At 42.6% G+C, this 23,491-nt stretch overlaps 3 annotated features.

Annotated features, from left to right (window-relative positions):
• Positions 6,449-6,989: an enhancer, noted in NCBI's record as "H3K27ac-H3K4me1 hESC enhancer chr6:158162257-158162797 (GRCh37/hg19 assembly coordinates)". NCBI's record gives its function as "activates a minimal SCP1, AML or CMV promoter by ChIP-STARR-seq in primed H9 embryonic stem cells {active_cell/tissue: H9 hESC(primed)}" and the evidence as "EXISTENCE:reporter gene assay evidence [ECO:0000049][PMID:30033119]".
• Positions 18,021-18,315: a silencer, noted in NCBI's record as "tiled region #4686; K562 Repressive DNase matched - State 5:Enh". NCBI's record gives its function as "represses a minimal TATA promoter and a strong SV40 promoter by Sharpr-MPRA in K562 cells {active_cell/tissue: K562}" and the evidence as "EXISTENCE:reporter gene assay evidence [ECO:0000049][PMID:27701403]".
• Positions 20,541-20,835: a silencer, noted in NCBI's record as "tiled region #7014; HepG2 Repressive non-DNase unmatched - State 20:ReprD". NCBI's record gives its function as "represses a minimal TATA promoter and a strong SV40 promoter by Sharpr-MPRA in HepG2 cells {active_cell/tissue: HepG2}" and the evidence as "EXISTENCE:reporter gene assay evidence [ECO:0000049][PMID:27701403]".

The following is a 23,491-nucleotide window of genomic DNA, read 5'->3' on the forward strand; positions in this document are numbered from 1 at the left end:
TGTTTTCAAGGGGGGTGTTTCAACTAAGAACCCATGAGGGAAAGAAAAGAAATTATATTTTCTCCCTTACAGTATTATGTTCAAAGAAAACAGCCAGCACCTTTAAGAAGAATTTCCCAACTGGATTCAGGCTAAGATGCTACCAACAGTTTGGCTGAGGGCTGCCTGAAGCTGAGGGTTGTCCTTCTGTCACAAGGTCAAGAAGGGCCTCCTGGCTGGGCCGGGTGGCTCACGCCTGTAATCCTAGCACTTTGGGAGGCCCAGGTGGGTGGATCACCTGAGCTCAGGAGTTCGAGACCAGCTTGGGAAATATGGCGAAACACCGTCTCTACTAAAAATACAAAAAATGAGCCAGGCATGGTGGTGCACACCTCTAATCCCAGGTACTGGGAAGGCTGAGGCATGAGAATCACTGGAACCTGGAAGGTGGAAGTACTGGAACCCAGAAGGTGGGTGACAGAGCAAGACTCTGTCTCAAAAAAAAAAGGACCTCATTCAAGTGGAACCAGGAGGGACAGAGATTGATTCCAGGGTTGTCTGCATCCTGACAAACTAACAGGGCTGGACCAGGCAGGAAGCTGGCTCTTCAGAATGAACATCCTGTGGAAGTTGACAATTAAAAGCCCAGACCTGGCCGGGCGTGGTGGCTCATGCCTGTAATCCCAGCACTTTGGGAGGCTGAAATGGGTGGATCACTTGAGGTCAGGAGTTCGAGGCCAGCATGGCCAATATGGTGAAACCCCATCTCTACTAAAAAATAAGAATAAAATAAAAGCCCAGACCTTCGCAAGTCTGAGGCAGAAGCTGAGCTCAGCTCCCACAAAGGGGCTACTGTCAGCCCAGGGCCACTGCCTTCAGGTCCCCTCAGCCTGTGACTGCTCCATCAAGGCCACCAAAATCCCACCTGAGGGCCTGGCGCAGTGGTTCACACCTGTAATCCCAGCACTTTGGGAGGCCGAGGAGGGCAGATCACTTGCACTCAGGAGTTCAAGACCAGCCTGAGCAAACAGTGAAACCATGTCTCTACTAAAAATACAAAATTGGCCGGGTATGGTGGCACACACCTATAATTCCAGCTATTTGGAAGGCTGAGGCAAGAATCGCTTGAACCTGGGAGGGGGAGGTTGCAGTGAGCTAAGATAACGCCACTGCACTCTAACCTGGGCAAAGTGAGACTATGTCTCAAAAAAAAAAAAAAAAAAAATCCCACCTGAGCCTCTCAATGATTCACTGAAGATGTTTATCTTCTGAGAGCTTCAGCATAAACTCTAATTTCCAGAGACACTTGTATTTGGATTTTGTTAAGTAGGTAGGAACACAACTGGAATGCCTACTGTGCCTAGACAGTTCTTTCTTTAAAAATCTTTATTTAGTTCTATATGAAATTTAAAGTAGTTTTTTCTAATTCTGTGAAGAAAGTCAATGGTAGCATGATGGGGATAGCATTGAAACTATAAATTACTTTGGTCAGTATGGCCATTTTCACGATATTGATTCTTCCTATCCATGAGCATGGAATGTTTTTCCATTTGTTTGTGTCCTCTCTTATTTCCTTGAGCAGTGGTGTGTAGTTCTCCTTGAAGAGGTCCTTCACATCCCTTTAAGTGGTATTCCGAAGTATTTTATTCTCTTTGTAGCAATTGTGAATGGGAGTTCACTCATGATTTGGCTCTCTGTTTGTCTGTTATTGGTGTATAGGAATGCTTGTGATTTTTGCACATTGATTTTGTATCCTGAGACTTTGCTGAAGTTGCTTATCAGCTTAAGGAGATTTGGGGTTGAGACGATGGGGTTTTCTAAATATACAATCATGTCATCTGCAAACAGAGACAATTTGACTTCCTGTCTTCCTATATGAGTACCCTTTATTTCTTTCTCTTGCCTGATTGCCCTGGCCAGAACTTCCAATACTATGTTAAATAGGAGTGGTGAGAGAGGGCATCGTTGTCCTGTGCTGGTTTTCAGAGGGAATGCTTCCAGTTTTTGCGCATTCAGTATGATTGGGTGGGTTTGTCATAAATAGCTCTTATTATTTTGAGACACATTCCATCAATACCTAGTTTATTGAGAGTTTTTAGCATGAAGGGGTGTTGAATTTTATTGAAGGCCTTTTCTGCATCTATTGAGATAATCATGTAGTTTTTGTCATTGGTTCTGTTTATGTGATGGATTGCGTTTATTGATTTGCATATGTTGAACCAGCCTTGCATCCCAGGGATGAAGCTAACTTGGTGATGGTGGATAAGCTTTTTGATGTGCTGCTGGGTTTGGTTTGCCAGTATTTTATTGGGGATTTTCACATCGATGTTAATCAGGGATATTGGCCTGAAATTCTCTTTTTTTGTTGTGTCTCTGCCAGGTTTTGATATCAGGATGACGCTGGCCTCATAAAATGAGTTAGGGAGGAGTCCCTCTTTTTCTATTGATTGGAATAGTTTCAGAAGGAGTGGTACCAACCCCTCTTTGTACCTCTGGTATAATTCGGCTGTGAATCCGTCTGGTCCTCATTTTTTTTTTTGGTTGGTAGGCTATTAATTACTGCCTCAATTTCAGAACTTGTTATTGGTCTGTTCAGGGATTCGACTTCTTCCTGGTTTAGTCTTGGGAGAGTATATGTGTCCAGGAATTTATCCATTTCTTCTAGACTTTCTAGTTTATTTGTGTAGAGGTGTTTATAGTATTCTCTGATGGTAGTTTATATTTCTGTGGGATCAGTGGTGATATCCCCTTTATCATTTTTTTTGCGTCTATTTGATTCTTCTCTCTTTTCTTCTTTATTAATCTGGCTGGTGTTCTATCTATTTTGTTAATCTTTTCAAAAAACCGGCTCCTGAGTTCATTGATTTTTTGAAGAGTTTTTCGTGTCTCTATCTCCTTCAGTTCTGCTCTCATCTTAGTTATTTCTTGTCTTCTGCTAGCTTTTGAATTTGTTTGCTCTTGCTTCTCTAGTTCTTTTAATTGTGACGTTAGGGTGTTGATTTTAGATCTTTCCCGCTTTCTCCTGTGGGCATTTACTGCTATAAATTTCCCTCTAAACACTGCTTTAGCTGTGTCCCAGAGATTCTCATACGTTGTGTCTTTGTTCTCGTTGGTTTCAAATAACTTATTTATTTCTGCCTTAATTTCATTATTTACCCAGTAGTCATTCAGCAGCAGGTTGTTCAGTTTCCATGTAGTTGTGTGGTTTTGAGTGAGTTTCTTAATCCTGAGTTTTAATTTGATTGCACTGTGGTCTGAGAGACTGTTTGTTATGGTTTGCTGAGGAGTGTTTTACTTCCAATTATGTGGTCAATTTTAGAATAAGTGTGATGTAGTGCTGAGAAGAAATGTATATTCTGATGATTTGGGGTGGAGAGTTCTGTAGATGTCTATTAGGTCCACTTGGTCCAGAGCTGAGTTCAAGTCCTGAATATCCTTCTTAACTTTCTGTCTCGTTGATCTGTCTAATATTGACAGTGGGGTGTTAAAGTCTCCTACTATTATTGTGTGGAAGTCTAAGTCTCTTTGTAGGTCTCTAAGAACTTGCTTTATGAACCTGGGTGCTCCTGTATTGGGTGCATATATATTTAGGATAGTTAGCTCTTCTTGTTGCATTGATCCCTTTACCTATGTAATGCCCTTCTTTGTCTTTTTTTATCTTTGTTGGTTTAAAGTCTGTTTTATCAGAGACTAGGATTGCAACCCCTGCTTTTTTTTTTCTTTCCATTTGCTTGGTAAATATTACTCCATCCCTTTATTTTGAGCCTATGTGTGTCTTTGCACATCAGATGGGTCTCCTGAATACAGCACAGTGATGCGTCTTGACTCTTTATCCCATTTGCCAGTCTGTGTCTTTTAACTGGGGCAATTAGCCCATATGGTAAAGATAACCCTAAGAAAAAAGAACAAAGCTGGAGGCATCATGCTACCTGACTTCAAACTATACTACAAGGCTACAGTAAACAAAACAGCATGGTACTTGTGCCAAAACAGATATATAGACCAATGGAACAGAACAGACGCCTCAGAAATAATGCCACACATCTACAACCATCTGATCTTTGACAAACCTGGCAAAAACAAGCAATGGGGAAAGGATTCCCTATTTAATAAATGGTGTTGGGAAAACTGGCTAGCCATATGCAGAAAACTGAAACTGGACCCCTTCCTTACACCTTACACAAAAATTAATTCAAGATGGATTAAAGACTTAAACATAAGACCTAAAACCATAAAAACGCTAGAAGAAAACCTAGGTAATACCATTCAGTACAGGCATGGGCAAGGACTTCATGACTAAAACACCAAAAGCAGTGGCAACAAAAGTCAAAATTGACAAATGGGATCTAACTAAACTAAAGAGCTTCTACACAGCAAAAGAAACTATCATCAAAGTGAACAGGCAACCTACAGAATGGGAGAACATTTTTGCAATGTATGCATCTAACAAAGGGCTAATATCCAGAATCTACAAGGAATTTAAACAAATTTACAAGAAAAAAACAAAAAACCCCATCAAAAAGTGGGCAAATGATATGAACAGACACTTCTCAAAAGAATACATTTATGCGACCAACAAACATATGAAAAAAAGCTCATCATCACTGGTCATTAGAAAAATGCAAATCAAAACCATAATGAGATACCATCTTATGCCAGTTAGAATGGCAGTCATTAAAAAGTCAGGAAACAACAGATGCTGGAGAGGATATGGAGAAATAGGAACGCTTTTACACTGTTGGTGGGAGTGTAAATTAGTTCAACTGTTGTGGAAGACAGTGTGGCAATTCCTCAAGGATCTAGAACTGGAAATACCATTTGACCCAGTGATCCCATTACTGGGTGTATACCCAAAGGATTATAAATCATTCTACTATAAATACACATGCACATGTATGTTTATTGAAGCACTATTCACAATAGCAAAGACTTGGAACCAACCCAAATGCCCATCAATGATAGACTGCATAAAGAAAATGTGGCACATATACACCATGGAATACCATGCAGCCATAAAAAAGGATGAGTTCATGTCCTTTGCAGGGACATGGATGAAGCTGAAAACCATCATTTTCAGCAAACTAACACAAGAACAGAAAACCAAACACCACATGTTCTCAGTCATAAGTGGGAGTTGAACAATGAGAACACATGGACACAGGGAGGGGAACATCACACACCAGGGCCCTGTCGGGCGGTGGGAGCCTAGGGGAGGGATAGCATTAGGAGAAATACCTAATGTAAGTGACAGGTTGATGGGTGCAGCAAACCACCACGGCACTTGTATACCTATGTAACAAACCTGCACATTCTGTACATGTATCCCAGAACTTAAAGTATAATAATAATAATAATAATAAATCTTTATTTAACCAATGTTCACAAGTAAATGTGAGATTGGAAATTCCAAGTGGTACACATTTCAGTATGTGCAGGTCAAACCCCTTTTGTGCAAGGCCACATTGCCCAACTCCAAGGGGCTCTGTGCCCATAGAATCTAATATACTGGTTTCCCCTAGAGCTGTGTGATATGTCAGCCCAGGTCTTGCAGTAGAACAACTTGGACCGCTCTTGACAAGGAAGGAATGCCTCCAGAAACTTCCCAATAGACTTTCACATCTCATTGACAGGAAGTGGCTCAGTTACCCACTGCTGCCTCATTGGCAAGCGGACTAGAATCCCAGGATAATTGAGCAAATCAGGATTGACACACTTGGGGATAGTGAGGTCCCAGCCCCTCCCTGAAGCACACAGCACCCCAATGCAGAGGGGGCAAATGACTGGGTCCCCAACAGCATCTGCCACACTTTGCTTCTGATCATCAGTTTCCAAAAAGATAGGTGTCCAGCATTGGCTGGAGAGCTCTGCAGAGTCAGGAGCATGGACTCTGGGGAGCTGTGAGCCCTCCACAGTCAACAGGAGAATGAATCCACAATTGTTGGAGAAAAGAGCTCACAACTGCCATTGGTTTCCCACAGTTAGGGCCTTTGCCAGGAGCCTCTCCCGCACCGGCTCAGGGCTGCCCCAGTGACCTGGCAGACAGGAGGCATCTGTGGAAGTAACATGGGAAGAATGCAGGCCTTCCAATTAGATGGGCCTGGAATCCTAGCTTTGCCATTGACTAGCTATGTGACCTTAGTAATGTCATTCAATTTCTGTAGGCTTCAGTTTCAAAATGGAGGGAATGACATCTACTTCATAAATTGCTATGAAGATTTTTTTCCTAGTCGGATGAAATCTCCAGCACAAAATAGGTTCTCACTCAATGATTCTTAAACGTTGGTGTTCTAAGAATCACCTGAGAGTCTTGGCCGGGTGCCGTGGCTCATGCCTGTAATCCTGGCACTTTGGGAGGCTGAGACAGGGGGATTGCTTGAGGCCAGGAGTTCGAGACCAGCCTGGCCAACGTGGCAAAATCCCGTCTCTACTAAAAAATATAAAAATTAGTCAGGTGTGGTGGCACGCACCTGTAATCCCAGCTACTCAGGAGGCTGAAACACAAGAATCACTGGAACCCAGGAGGTGGAGCTGCAATGAGCCGAGATTGTGCCACTGCACTCCAGTCTGGGTAACACAGCGAGACTCTGTCTCAAAAAACAACAACAACAACAAAAAAAAAAAAACAGAGAATCACATGTGAATCTAGTTAAACATGCGGATGCCTGGGCCTCCCACCCCAGACATTCTGCTTGCCTGCATCTGGGTCCAGGAATCTGCATTTTTAACAATGGCCCCCAGGTGATTCTGATGTAAATGATCACTGGCTGCACACTGAGCCACACTGCAGTAAACTGCTGCTGCTGCTGTTATCAGGCAAAACCTGAGCATGGCGGATATCTCATGCAACAAGAAAATTCATTTTAATTTTAATTATCTATCTATAATTAGCCTTGTTCCGTTAAAAATGATTAAGTCTGCAGTGCTTGAGGGACCCAATGGCTCACTGGTAAAAGCTGAATTCCATCAGCATTCTCCTTGCACAAATTCACCAAGTACACGAACCTCACGGCGGGAAGGCTTCCCCCAAGGAAGAAATGCAGCCTCCTCAACCTCTGCAGCCAAAATAAGACTCTTGCTAAAATTACTAAAGCATCGCATTTCCGGCGGAGAGCTTCCTTGCAAACTCCAATCTGGATTAATGAAGACTCAGGTCCCACCTGGCCCCATCATTCTGTCAATTCAACAGATTTCCTGGCCCAAGGAAAGTGCCCAGAAAAGCAAAGGTGAATCTCTCACTTCCCTCCCTTCCTCCCCTCACCACAACAACTGGCTCTGCTGGTGGCCTCAGGAGGATATAACACTATTTATTTCCTCTCTCCAGCCTCTTGGCCTCCAGCAGTAATAGCACTGCTAACTCGGAAATCTCTGCTGCTGCCTGTTATTGCAAAACTAGAATAGAAAACATTTTGCAGACAGTGTGACTTGGAACAAAAGAGCAGGGAAGAGAAGAAATCCCCCAGCCAGCATCTGAGAGTGAGGGCATGTAAGGGTGATGGACTGAGGAGAGGACAGGGGAAGAGTGTTTGGGAAGGAAGCTATTACGGGTTGGGAGAGGTTTGGGAAAGGAAAGGCAGAAGCAGCTGTGTTTGACTCTGTGTTCTGAACGCCACTGGGCTTCTCCTGCTTGGCTAAGAAAGATTTGGCAGCAGTCAGGGTCATGAAGACTCGCGGTCAAGTTGAGAGTGATCAGCTGTTCTTGTCCAAAAGGACAAACCAAGAGCAAAATGAAATGAAATGAGATGAGATGGGATGGGAAGACCTTTGGGTCAAGTCCAGTGGTTCCCAAACCTGGCCTGTTGTCAGAATCACTTGGAGTGCTGATTAAGACACCAATTCCCAGGCACCACTCTGACACTCTTCCCAGCAACTTGGATGATCGAGTGGATTTAGGAACCACAGGTGCAGCGGTTCAGGGGCTCCTGGCTGATGGTCTTTTGGGCCGATGGCATTTCTCCTGTAGATTCTTCAGAGTAGTTAATGGATTTTTCTACAATGCAATAATCACATTTGTAATGTGATTATTACATACGTAATGTACACATTACATTACACATATGTAACATACACATTACATTACACATATGTAATGTAATTTGTTCCTCACAGCCAAGGCCACTGTAAGCTCTCCCTGAGTCCTACAACTCTGACTTCTGGGGCCCTTACATCACGTCAAAGACAAAAACATATCCATGTCCCACCTTAAGTAGACTTTTATAATAATACTTTGAAATGTTTTTGTTGGTCTCAGTAACTCATTTAATTTAAGATTAACAGTCATTGCTTGGAGAGCATCTAGATACTCAGGAATTTTTTCAAAGTGGAAAAAAATTTAATCCACAGATAACTTGCTAATGTAATGAAAGTTCCAAAAGCCCTAAATTTAGTGACTGAATGAGTGGAACTATGATGTTATGTTTTTCAGATATTTAGTTAAATCCTCATTAATGTTAACTTTGAAGCTTTATTTGTATTTTCGGGTTTAGTTCTCTGTTTTAAATCTCAGTCAGTCATTTCTGTGAGCCTGTGGACAAGTCCGAGGCATGGTGACAGTACCATCTAATGGGCCAGACATCCCTGCCAACAAAGATGTTGTGAGATAATATCATTTTACAAGTAAGAAGCCCATTGGAGTTGATTTCAGAAGCCTGAGGCCTATGCAAAAAAAAAAAAACAAAAACAAAAACGGGGCTAGGCTTGAGAATGGAGACATCAAAGACCCAGTGTGTAATCAAAACAACAACAGATAAACAGAAAACTCCACAAGGCTCATTGTCTTTACCAAGATTTAATCATTTTACTTCAATAAATGCTCCTGGTATTATTGCAAACCTTTGGTTAATTTCCAGAGTTTTGAAAAAGTTCGTTTTGACCATTTTTTACAGTGTTCTTGTTGCTTTTATGGAGACAGGATTTTCAGAGGTCCTTGCACTGCCATTCCAAAGTGTTTCTCAGCATTACCTATTTTAATCATAAATAAGGCCAGGCATGGTGGCTCACACCTATAATCCCAGCACTTTGGGAGGCTGAGGCTGGTGGATCACTTGAGGTTAGGAATTCAAGACCAGCCTGGCCAACATGGTGAAACCCCGTCTCTACTGAAAATAAAAAAAAAATAGCCAGGCTTGGTGACGTATACCTATAGTCCCAGCTACTCGGGAGGCTGAGGCAGGAGAATCGTTTGAACCCAGGATGCAGAGGTTGCAGTGAGCTGAGACAGCACCACTGTACTCCAGCCTGGGTGATAGAGAGAGACTCTGTCTTAAAAAAAAAAAAAAGAAAAAATTATACATAAATCTTGTCCTTTTAAGAGTAAGTTGGAAAAGTGGTCATGAAAATTAAATGATGCATTGTATATAAAACAACTAATCTAATGCCTATAATATGGTAAATGCTTGATATTGAAGACAGCAGCTATTCTTTTTATATGATCATAATGCTCCCGGCCGGCCCTAAGCAGTTTAGTGGCTGAGTAGCTGAGTTGTAGAGCAGGGACGAGACCACCCATCTTCTGACTTTCAGCCAATGCCTCTGTGAATGCACCATCAGGCCCCATGACCTCACCGCAAATGAGCCATAGTTTAAGAGGCTCTTCTTGCCTCTTAAGTACATCATGCAATCTCCAGGTATAATCTTCAATATAATTTTAAGACATGACTCATGGAATGTATAATAAAATGTGTAAGATAATTTAATTCCAGTGATCATATGCAGATGAGTGGAGACAGCCATGAGCAGAAAGCACATTCATTTTCTCCTGCTCCCAGTATTTACTCAAATGCAATCAACTTCCCCCTGGAACCACTCTTTCTGACACCCTGACTCCTCACCCAGCCCTCTCACACCATGGAAGATGCATCTCCCCACCCTTGGAATTGAAAAGGCTTGCGACAGCCCCCCCAGCACTTCAGCCCTCACTGGAACCAACAGGGATGATGACAGCATTTTCCCGGTTCCCTCTGGACTTAGTCTTTCTTTCTTTCTTTCTTCATTTTTTTTTTTTTTTTTTTTGAGACGGAGTCTTGCTCTATTGGCAGGCTGGAATGCAGTGGCATGATCTCTGCTCACTGCAACCTCCGCCTGCCAGATTCAATCAATTCTCCTGCCTCAGCCTCCCGAGTAGCTGGGACTACAGGTGTGTGCCACCACACCCGGCTAGTTTTTGTATTTTCAGTACAGACAGGGTTTCACCATGTTGGCCAGGATGGTCTCGATCTCTTGACCTTGTGATCCACCCACCTCGGCCTCGCAAAGTGCTGGGATTACAAGGGTGAGCCACCACGCCTGGCCCTTTCTTTCTAACTTTAAGGAGGATGGAGACCTCTACAATAAGCAAAGGAAGAAGGGTAGATAGGAAAAGAGTATGTTTTGGAGTCAAGCAGAGCTAAATTCAAGGCCCAATTTTACTATTTACTGGCTGTGTGATTTGGGTAAGCTACAAATCTCCCTGAGCCTCTGTCACACTCATCTACAAAAGAGCAATAAAATCACCTTTTTTTTTTTTTGCTACGTTATTGTGAGATGTAGAAATTCTACATGTCAAGAACCTGGTATTCAAGAGGTGCCCAGTTAGTGGCAGTGATCGTCATCGTAATAGCCACGTGTTGATAAAGGCTGTGACACCAGCAGGGAAAGAAGTCACTCATGGCTACACTGAAAGTCCAGGCCTGGGTTTTTGTGTTTTGCTTTATTCTCTTCTCTCAAATCCAAACCTAATAAACTCCCCTGCAGGCATGGAACCCTTTTCCGTGTATTAAATGACATTGTTGTTGACCCCTCTGTAATTTGCGGAGCCAAGAAAAGAAGACTTGATCCTTCGTGGCCCTGTTTGATTTTAACCCAGGAAAAGTTGACTTGGAAAGTTTGGCATTTCCATTCTGCCCAGGGTGATTTTTCACCTTAAATTTCACTTTCCTGAGCCAAGAAAGAGCAAACCACTGAAAGACTTCATGTTTTTCTTCTTTTAATGAGCCCAAGGACGAGAATATGAAAGATTTACTTATAAAAGGGAAAAGCAGGTGAAAAATGCAGGCACAGTGTGTCCGTGGTCAGATGCCCATCCTGGCTTCTCAAACTGAGAACTGCTCCACCCCAAGAGCTCCTGAAAGTACTACCTGGATCCAAAATTGTCCTTCTTCTCTTCTCCAGTTATGTATGTGAAAGCATGGAAAGAAATAAATTTAGAGAAAAATTTTCAATCCTGTTGTGTAAACACATTACACAAATGCTGTTATTCTTCATTAAAATCTGCTATCCCTGGAATTTTGGTTCTCATATACATATTAACACAAAAAGACAAATATAGCATCCAAAACAGGAATCAGTAAAAAACATTTAGAATGTTGGAATTGATCAATGGCATCCTGCAGATAGAACTCCAGGAATCAAATGTCCTGGAAGTGACTTTTTTGTTGTTGTTAGGACTAGTCCAGTGGACCAATGGGAATACAAAAGGAACTGGAAGTTACTTAAAATTTACAATTAGTTATCCATTTCTGCATAATTCTTTTGTGAAGTCTTGCAACATGTGAAGAGCATTTTTCCTAAAAGTTGAGGTATTCAAAGATTGAGCTTGCATATATTTATGACACAACTTGTTTCCCCTTTAAAAAAAAAAACATTAAAATGTAAGTGTATGAAACAGTTAAGGTGGGCAGTCTGTAGCCTACAGGATGCTGGGCATAAAGTGGCTAACAGGTAATGATCCTGCGCTTCCATCGCCAGGCAGAAGACTTCTTTCTGTCCTTAAACATTAAGTATCAAGGGGCCGTATTTCTGCCCAATGGAGTACTCTGTTTTCAGGAAGTTACTCTTCCAGCCAAATGGAGAGCAACCAGACACCCTCCCATCCTTATCCTGGGGCAAGACAGAGATGGAGGGGGAGCCTGGCCGGAAAGAGAGGAAGGAGCCTTTGCAGGGGGCACAGAACAAGCAGCAGACATTTCTGCAGAGCTTTTTGGAAGGAGCCAGACTCTTACAATTAAAATCAGGAAAGACAGGCTGGGTGACAAGGCAAGACTTTGTCTCAAAACAACAAAAAAGTTAGGAAAGACTGTGATTTGAAGCATGAAGGCTGAGCAAGTATATTCTCTAAGACAGTGGTCCCCAGCCTTTTTGGCACCAGGGACCAGTTTTGTGGAAGGCTGTTTTTCCACAGGGTGGGTCGTGGGGTCAGAGGGTATGAAACTGTTCCACCTCAGATCATCAGGCATTAGATTCTCATAAGGAGCACACAACCTAGATCCTTCACATGCACAGTTCCCGATAGGATTCAAGCTCCCATGAGAATCTAATGGCGCAACTGATCTGACAGAAGGCAGAGCTCAGGCGGTAATGCTCACTTGTCCGCCGCTCACCTCCTGCTATGCAGCCTGGTTCCTAACAGGCCATGGACTGGTACAGGTCTGTGGCCCCGAGACTGAGGACCCCTGCTCAAAGACAAAGAATAAAAACCCACCTACAAGAAAGTAATGCCCCCACACAAACCAGAACAGAACGGAAGGGGCCAGAGGGACCTGGAAAAAGCATGTGGCTGTGTACATGCACACACAAACACACAAGATATTTTCACTGAATGAAAACAGTCTACTCTCTTAGCCATGCTTGACCAAATCATCTCTTGCAGGAATAGTTCACATTTTTTAAAAAGCACTTAAGGAACTGAGATATCAGAAGCACAGAGTAGAATTCAGTGATTATCAAACCGTGTGAGCAGTCAAGTTTTCTGTTCCATCTTCATTCATATCAGCTTGCCATAAGTACAGGAGTAAGTATGTTGTGAAGTTATTCTTCTATTAATTCTGGCAATCATTGTATTAACTACTCGTTCGAGGCATATTGCAATACTGACTCAACATAAGCTTATCTTCAAGTGATAAGGCAGCCTGGTGCTGTTACTAAGTGACACCTCGTCAACACTTGCTATCAAGAATTGCTCATAACAGAATTTGGTTAAATGTAATGTTTAATCATCATGAACTAAAAAACAAAGCAATGAAATTACTAATCCCATATAAAGTATATTTATGGAAAATATGAATTATTTTTATTCGTTTTAAATAAAACAATATTATTAATAATACCAAATGTTTATTGAGCCCCTATTATGTACTAAGCACTGTGCTGAGTAATTAATAGATGTTACCAATGTTAATCTTTACTAGGGCTCTTTGAGATGAGTTCTATTATTATTTTCCAATTAGGAAACTGAGTCTAAGAGAGGTTAAATAACTTGCCCATTGTCAAGCTGGTAAGAGACAGAGTTGAGATTTGAACCCAAGCAGTCTGAGAATTGAATCAAAACTCTTAAACATAGAACCAAATAAGAATTTTGTTCTTTATTCTGTTAAATACAAAACAACATCATCCATCATATTAAATTCATGTTATTAATCTGAATTTTATTAGTTTTTTCATTTTGTTTTTATAGCATTTGTAGATTTTTCTTGGTTTTATCACTGTATTAGATCTAACAGTATGAGGACTCTGTATCTAGTTTTAGTTTTGATCATATTTAAGTAATATAATAAAAAAGAATTTAGGTCAACATTGGATATCTATGATAAATATTTCCTTTAAAATGGGTCTATACCTTGTTTTACAAATGCCAATGTAAAATAAGAGAACTTCCCCTTACTTAAAACAAATTTATCTTCTGTCCAATATAACATTTTGACCACTAAAGAATATTTTACTCAGGCTGAGCATGGTGGCTCATGCTTGTAATCCAGCACTTTGGGAGGCCAAGGCGGGTGGGTCACAAGGTCAGCAGTTTGAGACCAGCCTGGCCAACATAGTGAAACCCCATCTCTACTAAAAATGCAAAAATTAGCAGGGCATGGTGGTACGCGCCTGTAGCCCCAGCTACTTGAGAGGCTGAGGCAAGAGAATCACTTGAACCTGAGAGGTGGAGGTTGCAGTGAGCCAAGATCATGCCACTGCACTCCAGCCTGGGCAACAGAGTGAGAATCTGTATCAAAAAAAAAAAAAAAAAAAGAATGTTTTACCTATAGCTGATAATTTATCTGATTTCTCATTTTCATTCTCAAACAGTCTTTTCTCCTGAGAGTTTAAGGAGCTGTGCAGAATATTTTCAATAAATTAATATGTTTCATTATAATATCAACATCCTAAGAGTTGGGAAGAGTTATTAAAATCACAGTAACAATAGCATGGCTCTCCATAGTATCTTTCCTCTCAATATTGAAAAATGCTTTCAGAGACATTATCTCAATTACCTTCTTACATCCTGAGGAAGTAGGTAGTGGAAAATCTCTGTCACAACCTCACAGAATCTAAAGTACAAAGAGGTTAAATAAAACTCACAAGAGAATTCATGTCAAGCAGTGAATTTTATATAGTCAATTACCTTTGGGTTCTAAATTAGATTTCACAACCCCAAGGGAACTCACATACTGATTCCGTGAAACCATCAGATGAAGAGGTCTCTGTCCCATGCATATCTGCTGTTCCCATGGTTAGACAGGGAGAGAGTTCGGGGAGATGGGTGATGGGGTGCAGTCAGGGTCTGGTTTGGCTCTTAGGTTTGAAACTTACTAGTCTGAGACCTTGGGAAAATTATTTACCTTTTGTGGGCCTCAGTTTCCTCATCTATAAAATGGGATGAGGAAACCTACCTCATGGAATCATTTTGATAATTAAGTAAGATATTACATGCCAGGGCTTGGCACTGACCTCACATAGAGTATATGCTGAAGTAATGGGAGTGATTACTGTATTACTGTCAGTAGTGGCAATTGTGCTAACTTTTTTTTTTTTTTTTTTTGAAACAGAGTCTTGCTCTGTCACCCAGGCTGAAGTGCAGTGGCATGATCTTGGCTACTGCAACCTCTGCCACCTGGGTTCAAGCAATTCTCCTGCCTCCACCTCCCGAGTAGCTGGGACTACAGCCACCACGCCTGGCTAATTTTTGTATTTTTAGTAAAGATGGGGTTTCACCATGTTGGCCAGGCTGGCCTCAAACTCCTGACCTCAGGTGATCCGCCTGCCTCAGCTTCCCAAAGTACTGGGATTACAGGCATAAGCCACCACACCCAGCCACTAACTCCTGCTAAGATGAAGGGTAGAAGAACTGATATGGCCAAAAAAGGAAATTAGGGGAAAAAAATTCCACTTACTATAACATCAAAAAGAATAAAATACTTAGGAATAAACTTAACTAAGGAGGTGGAAGACTTGTACACTGAAAACTACAAAACATTGATGAAAGAAATTATAGTAGGCACAAATAAATGGAAAGACAACCCATGTCCATGGATTGAAAGAGTTACCATTGTCAAAATGTCCATAACTACCCACAATGATCTATAAATTTAATGTAATCCCTATCAAAATTCCAATGCATTTTCTACAACAATAGAAAAAAATTTTTAAATTCATATGGAAATATAAAAGACCCTGAATACCCCAATCTATCTTGAAAAAGAACTCCAGCTGTGTTAGCTGGAGACATCGCACTTCCTAATTTCAAAATGTATTACAAAGTTCTGATAATTAAAACACTATGGTATTGGCATAAACACAGACATGTTGACCAAAAGACCAGAAATAAACCCATGCATATGCAGTTAACTGATATTCAATGAGGGTGCCAAGAATCCACAATGGAGAAAGGATAGTCTCTACAACAAATGGTGTTTTGTAAAACTGGATATCCACATGCAAATTGTATCCTTATCTTACACCATACACAAAAATCAATGCAAACAGATTAAAAACTTCAATGTAAAACCCAAAACTGTAAAACTCCTAGAAGAAAGATAGAGGAAAAGTTTTGTGGCATGGTCTTGGCAATGATTTCATAGATATGGCAACAAACGCAAACACAGACAAATGAGAATACATCCAACTAGAAAGCTTCTGCACAGCAAAGGAAATAATCAACAGAGTGAAGAGACAACCTGTTGAATGGGAGAAAATGTTTGCAAACCATATATCTGATAAAGGATTAATATCCAAAATATATAAGAGACTTCTACAACTCAACAGAAAAAAAAAAAACCCTAATAACGCAATTTAAAAATAGGCAAAGGACTTGAATAGACATTTCTCCAAGGAAGACATGCAAATGGCCAACGGGCATATGGAAAGATGTTCAATGCCACTAATCATCAGGGAAATGCAAATCAAAACCACAATGAGCTAGCACTTCACACCTGTTAGAATGACTGTTATTTTTTAAAAAATATAATAAGTGTTGGAGAGGATGTGAAGAAATTGGAAGGTTTGTATGCTGTTGGCAGGAATACAAAATGGTGCAGCCACTATGGAACATGGTATGGAGGTGTATTAGTCCATTTTCACACTGCTGATAAAGACGTACCCAAGACTGGGAAGAAAAAGAGGTTTCATTGGACTTACAGTTCCACATGGCTGGGGAGGCTAAGAATCATGGTGGGAGGTGAAAGGCACTTCTTACATGGGGGTGGCAAGAGAAAATGAGGAAGATGCTAAAGTAGAAACCCCTGATAAACCCATCAGATCTCGTGAGACTTATTCACTACCATGAGAACAGTATGGGGAAAACCACCCCCATGATTCAAATTATCTCCCACTGGGTCCCTCCCACAACACGTGGGAATTACAGGAGTATAGTTCAAGATGAGATTTGGGTGGGGACACAGAGCCAAACCATATCAGGAGGTTCTCAAAAAATTAAAACTAGAACTACTATATAATCTAGGAATTTAGTCTTTATCCAAAAAAATTAAAATCCGAATCTCAAATATTGTCATTCCCATGTTCATTGCAGCACCATTCACAATAGCCAAGATGTGGAAACAACCTAAATGTACAACAATGGGTAAAGAAAATGTGGTGTGTACATAAATGGAACACTATTCTGCCTTAGAAAAGAAGGAAATCCTGCAATGTGAGACAACATGGATGAGCCTTGGGAACATGATGCCAAGTGAAATAAGCCAGACACAGAAAGACAAATGCTGCATGATTCTACTTAACGGAGGTATCTAAAATATTTAAATTCATAGGAACAAAGAGCAGAATGGTGGTTGCCAAAGTCTGCAGGGAGGGGAAGTGGGAAATTATTATTCAATGAATATAGTTTCAGTTATACTAGATGAATAAGTTCTAGAGGTCTCCTGTACAACACAGTGCCTGTAGTTAACACTGTATTGTGCACTTAAAAAATTAACAGAGCCGGGATCCCAGCACTTTGGGAGGCCAAGGCGGGTGGATCACTTGAGGTCAGGAGTTCGAGACCAGCCTGGCCAACACGGTGAAACCTCGTCTCTACTAAAAACACAAAAATAAGCTGGGCATGGTGTCACATGCCTGTAATCCCAGCTGCTCTGGAGGTTAAGGCAGGAGAATCGCTGGAACCCAGGAGGCGGAGGTTGCAGTGAGCCGAGATTGCGTTACTGCACTCTAGTCTGGGTGACAGAGTGAGACTTTGTCTCAAAAAAAAAAAAATTAACAGGATTGAAGGGGTGGCCTGCCCCTCCACACCTGTGGTTGTTTCTCGTCGGGTGGGACGAGAGACTGAGAAAAGAAAGAGACACAGAGACAAAGTATAGAGAAAGAAAAGTGGGCCGAGGGGACTGGCACTCAGCATATGGAGGATCTGCGCAGGCACCAGTCTCTGAGTTCCCTCAGTATTTATTGATCATTATCTCTACCATCTCAGACAGGGGGATGTGGCAGGACAATAGGGTAATAGTGGGGAGAGGGTCAGCAGGAAAACATGTGGACAAATGTCTCTGTGTCATAAACAAGGTTAAGAAAAAGTGCTGGGCTTTGATGTGCACATACAAAAACATCTCGGTGCATTAAAGAGCAGTATTGCTGCCAGCATGTCTCACCTCCAGCCCTAAGATGTTTTTCTCCTATCTCAGTAGATGGAATATACAATCGGGTTTTACACCGAGACATTCCATTGCCCAGGGACGAACATGAGATAGATGCCTTCCTCTTATCTCAACTGCAAAGAAGCCTTCCTCTTCTACTAATCCTCCTCAGCACAGACCCTTTACGGGTGTCGGGCTGGGGGACGGTCACGTCTTTCCCTTCCCATGAGGCCATATTTCAGACTATCACATGGGGAGAAACCTTGGACAATACCTGGCTTTCCTAGGCAGAGGTCCCTGCGGCCTTCCGCAGTGTCTTGTGTCCCTGGGTACTTGAGATTAGGGAGTGGTGATGACTTTTAACAAGCATGCTGCCTTGAAGCATTTGTTTAACAAAGCACATCCTGCATAGCCCTAAATCCATTAAACCTTGAGTCGACACAGCCCATGTTTCTGCGAGCACAGGGTTGGGGGTAGGGTTACAGATTAACAGCATCTCAAGGCAGAAGAATTTTTCTTAGTACAGAACAAAATGGAGTCTCTTATGTCTACTTCTTTCTATATAGACAAAGTAACAGTCTGATCTCTCTTTCTTTTCTCCACACAGGATAGATCTTATGTTAAGTGTTCTTGCCATAGTTTTCTTTTTAGTGGCAAAAAAAAAAAAAAAAAAGAGGGAGTACAGCAGCTGTGAATAGAGATTATAGATAATTATGGATTCTTGTTTAGCATGCTTTCAGATTGAACTCATTATGGTCTAACCAAGGGGATTTAGTCTCATATAAAAAGAAGTTCACAGGTAGAGCAGTTTCAGGGCTAATTCAGTAACTCAAAAAGGTACTTCCATTTCTTCAAGGATCCAAGTTGTTTACATTTCTTCAGTCTACCAGACTCAATAGACTTATTTTGCCTCGGGCTGTTTCCTTTCATCATCACAAGGTGGTTGCCAAATCCCGAGATTAAAAACAGCCATGGTTAAGTCCAGAGAAGAACAAGGATCTGTGTCTTTTTTTTCCCTCTATTTTCAAAGGAAGAGAAAAAAATCTTTCCACAAGCCTCCAGATTTCCCCCAGTGTCTAATTGGCCAGAACAGGTCACATATTCCCTCCTAAGCCAGTCACTGGGACCACCATAATTGCCTGGGGTCATCAAGATTCTGCTTCTGTAACCGCCCAAGGGGTTCACCTTGCCCCGCTGCCTAGACAGAGCCAATTCATCAAGACACGGGAATTGCAATAGAGAAAGAGTAATATACGCAGAGCCGGCTGTATGGGAGACTGGAGTTTTATTATTACTCAAATCAGTCTCCCTGATCATTGGGGAGCAGAGTTTTTAAAGATAATTTGGTGGGTGGGGGAAAGCCAGTAAGCCAGGAGTACTGGTTGGTCAGAGATGAAATCATGGGGAGTCAAAGCTGTCTTGTGCTGAATCAGTTCCTAGGTGGGAGCCACAAGATCAGGTGAGCCAGTTTATTGATGGGGTGGTGCCAGCTGATCCATCAAGTGCAGGGTCTGCAAATATATCTCAAGCACTGATTTCTAGGAGCAGTTTAGGGAGGGTCAGAATCTTGTAGCCTCCAGCTGCACGACTCCTAAATCATAATTTCTAATCTTGTGGCTAATGTTAGTCCTACAAAGGCAATCTAGTCTCCAAGCAAGAAGGAGGTCTGCTTTGGCAAAGAGCTATTAGTGTCTTTGTTTAAACTATAAACTAAGTTTCTCCCAAAGTTAGTTCAGCTTACGCCCAGGAATGAACACAGACAGCTTGGAGGTGAGAAGCAAGATGCAGTCGGTTAAGTTAGATCTCTCTCACTGTCTCAGTCATAATTTTGCAAAGGCAGTTTCACTTCTAGGACAGAAAATGGGAAGCACAGATAGGATAGAAACCTGGACAAGAGGAGGATTCTACTGGAAGGAAGCAGTTGGGTGGCTGCATTTTTTGGATGCTTCCTGTTTTGAGACATAAAAGTGCTTTGTTGAAGGTGGGTCTGTCTGACGTGCGTCACACATTGTATGAACTGAGCAACATGCATGTTGTGAGCGTGGACATCAGCACGTCCTAAGTCTGCTCTGTGCCTCTGAGTTTCGAGAGCAAAATTTCTGAGTGAGGGCTCTCCCTCTCACCTGTGCAGCTATCACAACCTCAAAGCATCCAAGACTATGGTCGGAATAGCAGTGCAGGTGTTACAGGAAAGGGGTCCTGATCCAGATCCCAAGAGAGGGTTCTTGGATCTTGTGCAAGAAAGAATTCAGGGTGAGTCCATAGAATAAAGTGAAAGCAAGTGTATTAAGAAAGTAAAGGAATAAAGAATGGCTACTCCATAGACAGAGCAGCCCCGAGGGCTGCTGGTTGCCCATTTTTATGGTTGTTTCTTGATGATATGCTAAACAAGGGGTGAATCTCATGTCTCCCCTTTTTAGACCATGCAGGGTAACTTCCTGACATTGCCATGGCACTTGTAAACTGTCATGGTGCAGGTGGGAGTGTAGCAGTGAGGACGACCAGAGGTCACTCTCGTGGCCATCTTGGTCTTGGTGAGATAGGGCCGGCTTCTTTACTGCAACCTGCTTTATCAGCAAGGTCTTTATGACCTGCATCTTGTGCTGACCTCTTATCTCATCTTGTGACTTAGAATGCCTTAACAGTCTGGGAATGCAGCCCAGTAGGTCTCCGCCTCATTTTACCCAGCTCTGTATTCAAGATGGAGTTGCTCTGGTTCGCATGCCTCTGACACCGGGAGAAATTCTCCCTCTCAGCCATCTCTTTCCTAGTGGCCTCTCTCAGCATCATATGTTAGTCACTCCTCCCTTCCTGGTAGGGAAGAGAATGCCTCCGGGTTAGAAAAACACCAGCTGAGAGTTTATAGACATTTCTCTTTGAACATGTGGAACAACAAAGACTACTGATAGACTGTTGGGCATAATTTTAGAATTTGCCTTATTTTGTCAAAGATTAAAGAAAGAAAAGGCCACTTTCCCACTATTCGATTTAACTCAGTCGGATTATACGGTGACAATGTCACTCACTGATTTAAGCTTGAATGTGAGAGATTTAAAAGCAATGGCTTGAAAGGAGTTGTTTTGCATCTTAAAAGAAACCACGACTTCAGAGTGATTTTGATTTTCCATTCCTACAAAGGAAGAAACGAAGCTAAATGCTTTTAATCCTAAAAGTGCCCTTTCAGAATTTCTGGGATCACGGTTGCAAGGCAGAAGTGGAGAACTACCCATTGGATGCCTCTCCAGGAGTCACATCTGTCTCCTCAGACTTTGATCTTCTCAGACATTGCTGGAGAGGCAGGGACAGAAAGTTCAGATGCTACGGAAAGACAGTGTGGGTCAGACCACACAGTGTTCCTTTGAAACTCCTGGCTTACTGGCTTTCCCCCACCCACCCATCAAGTGTGTCCTTTGAGGTGAGACATAACATCAGCTGACTAACAAGATGTTTGCCAGTAATCACATCTGATGACAGTAAATGTCAGTCTCCCAACACAATTTCTATTTTATTTCATTAATACCATCCTCAGTGGTTTGCTTGAAAGGGTTAAATTAGCTAGGCATGGTGGCTCATGCCTGTAATCCCTACACTTTGGGAGGCTGAGGTAAGCAGATCACTTGAGGTCAGGAGTTCAAGACCAGCCTGGGCAACATGGTGAAACCCTGTCTCTACAAAAAATACAAAAATTGGCTGGGCGTGGTGGCAAGTGCCTGTAGACCCAAGTACTTGGGGGGCTGAGGCAGGAGGATTGCTTGAACCCAGGAGGTGGAGGTTGCAGTGAGCTGTGATTGTTCCTCTGCACTCTGCACTCTAGCTGGGCAACAGAGTGAGACTCTGTCTAAAAAAAAAAAAAGAGTTAAATTGGAAAATGTATGTCTTGGTGCTCTGTAAATTGCGAAGCTCTACATAAGTATGATTCCCTGTCTTTATAAATTTGCAATCTGGTGTGCCATGTCTGGGGACAATAACTCCTTCATTGCTCCAGGCACAGAGTTCTGGATTGAGGTCCTGGCTTCTGCTTCTCCAAGATTATCCAAATTTCTTGCTCCTTGAAGGTGGACTTTGAGGACCAGCATCACTTGTGTACCCCATAGCTTCTAATGCAGCAAGCAGGGAATAGACACTCCAGCAAGCAAGTGAATAAGCAAAGAAAACCAGGCCCCCGAGACGCAGGCGGATCCCCAGGCGGATCCCCAGAGGCAACAGAGTCAAATATGCGGGAAAGAATCTGATTCCGGCCAGCAGAGGGCAGGAGCGAGAGGAAACTGGGCATCTCAGCAACAAAGCAGGCTGTGCCAACCTGCGGCCGAGGGCCAGATCGCAAGCCCCGGTGCAGAGAGGACGCCGGGAGAATCCAGCTAATTCTGACAGCCTTTCCCTTGGACTTTAGCTGTAATGTGTGTGTGTTCCATTATCTCACACATCACTGCACTGAATTCCACTTCAACTTCCACCCCCTCCCCCCACCAGGAGCTGGCAGTTAAGATATTTACCAAGATGGTGCTGCCTCTCTAGTAAAACTCAGGAGGATTAAAATAATAATAAACAAACCGAGAGAGGGAGTCCAGAAAAGTGGACTAGGAAGCACAACACAGAAGCAGCTTCAGCACTGGAAAATATTCAGTCGTAAGAATCACCATGCATTCCCTCAGTGCTTGGCAGCCACTTTCTCACTTGAGCCCCATACTCTTTGTATGAGGTATGGGGTGGCTACTTGTGGAGTGCTGTGTCTAAGTCACCCTGCATGGGAGAGGCAGCACCAGGATTCTAACTCAGGATCCTGGGGCCTTATCCACGGCACTCTGTTACCGGGGACACGCTCATTCACTCAACAAACCTTCACGGACTGCCCATCAGTTCTTGTGCCAGGTATACAGAAGGGAAGGACACGGTCCTGTCCTCCAAGAGCTCATCCTCCAAAAGAGCATGGATACTAATAAACAGTCACAGTTTGGTATGACATGGCCATGACAGAGAAGAGTCACCCAACGCAAACTGGGAGGGCCAGTGAACATTTCCAGGAGGAAGTGACAGAAGTTGCCCTGCTGATGACCTCAGTGGCACCATTCATTTTATCACTATGTACCAGAAAATTGTCATAATCTACAGTGACCTCAGATGTGCACAGGGCACCCTCCACCTCTTTGCAATGCCCCTTGCACAGCCATACTGGGAAGCTTGCAGCTGAACCAAGCTTTGAAGGATGACTAGGAGCAGGCAATCAAAGAAAGGAATAGGGGCTAGGGCTGGCGTCGGGTGGAGGGATTCTGGGTGAAGGGGTTGGCACCAGCATAGGGGGTAGGCCTGAGAAATGTCCCCACAGCTGGAGCGTAGGTCTCAGGAGGAATGGTAACAAGAAGACTAAGAAGCAGATGGGGAGGCCAGGAGTTTGAGGAGCTTGGGCAACATAGCAGGACCTCGTCTCCACAAAAAGAAATTAAAAATTAGCCGGCCATGGTGGTGCATGCCTGTAGTCCCACTTACTCAGGAGGCTGAGGCAGGAGGATCACTTGAGCCCAGGAGTTCAAAGTTACAGTGAGGTGTGATCTCACTGCTGCACTCCAGCCTCCAAGGTCTTCAGAGCAAGACCCTATCAAAAAAGAAAAGAAAAGAAAGAAGAAAGGAAGGAAGGAAAGAAGGAAAGAGAAAGAGAGAAAGAAAGAAAGAAAAAAGAGAGGAAGGAAGGAAAA

This window comes from Homo sapiens, chromosome 6 (genome assembly GCF_000001405.40).
Source record: "Homo sapiens chromosome 6, GRCh38.p14 Primary Assembly".
NCBI lineage: Eukaryota > Metazoa > Chordata > Mammalia > Primates > Hominidae > Homo > Homo sapiens.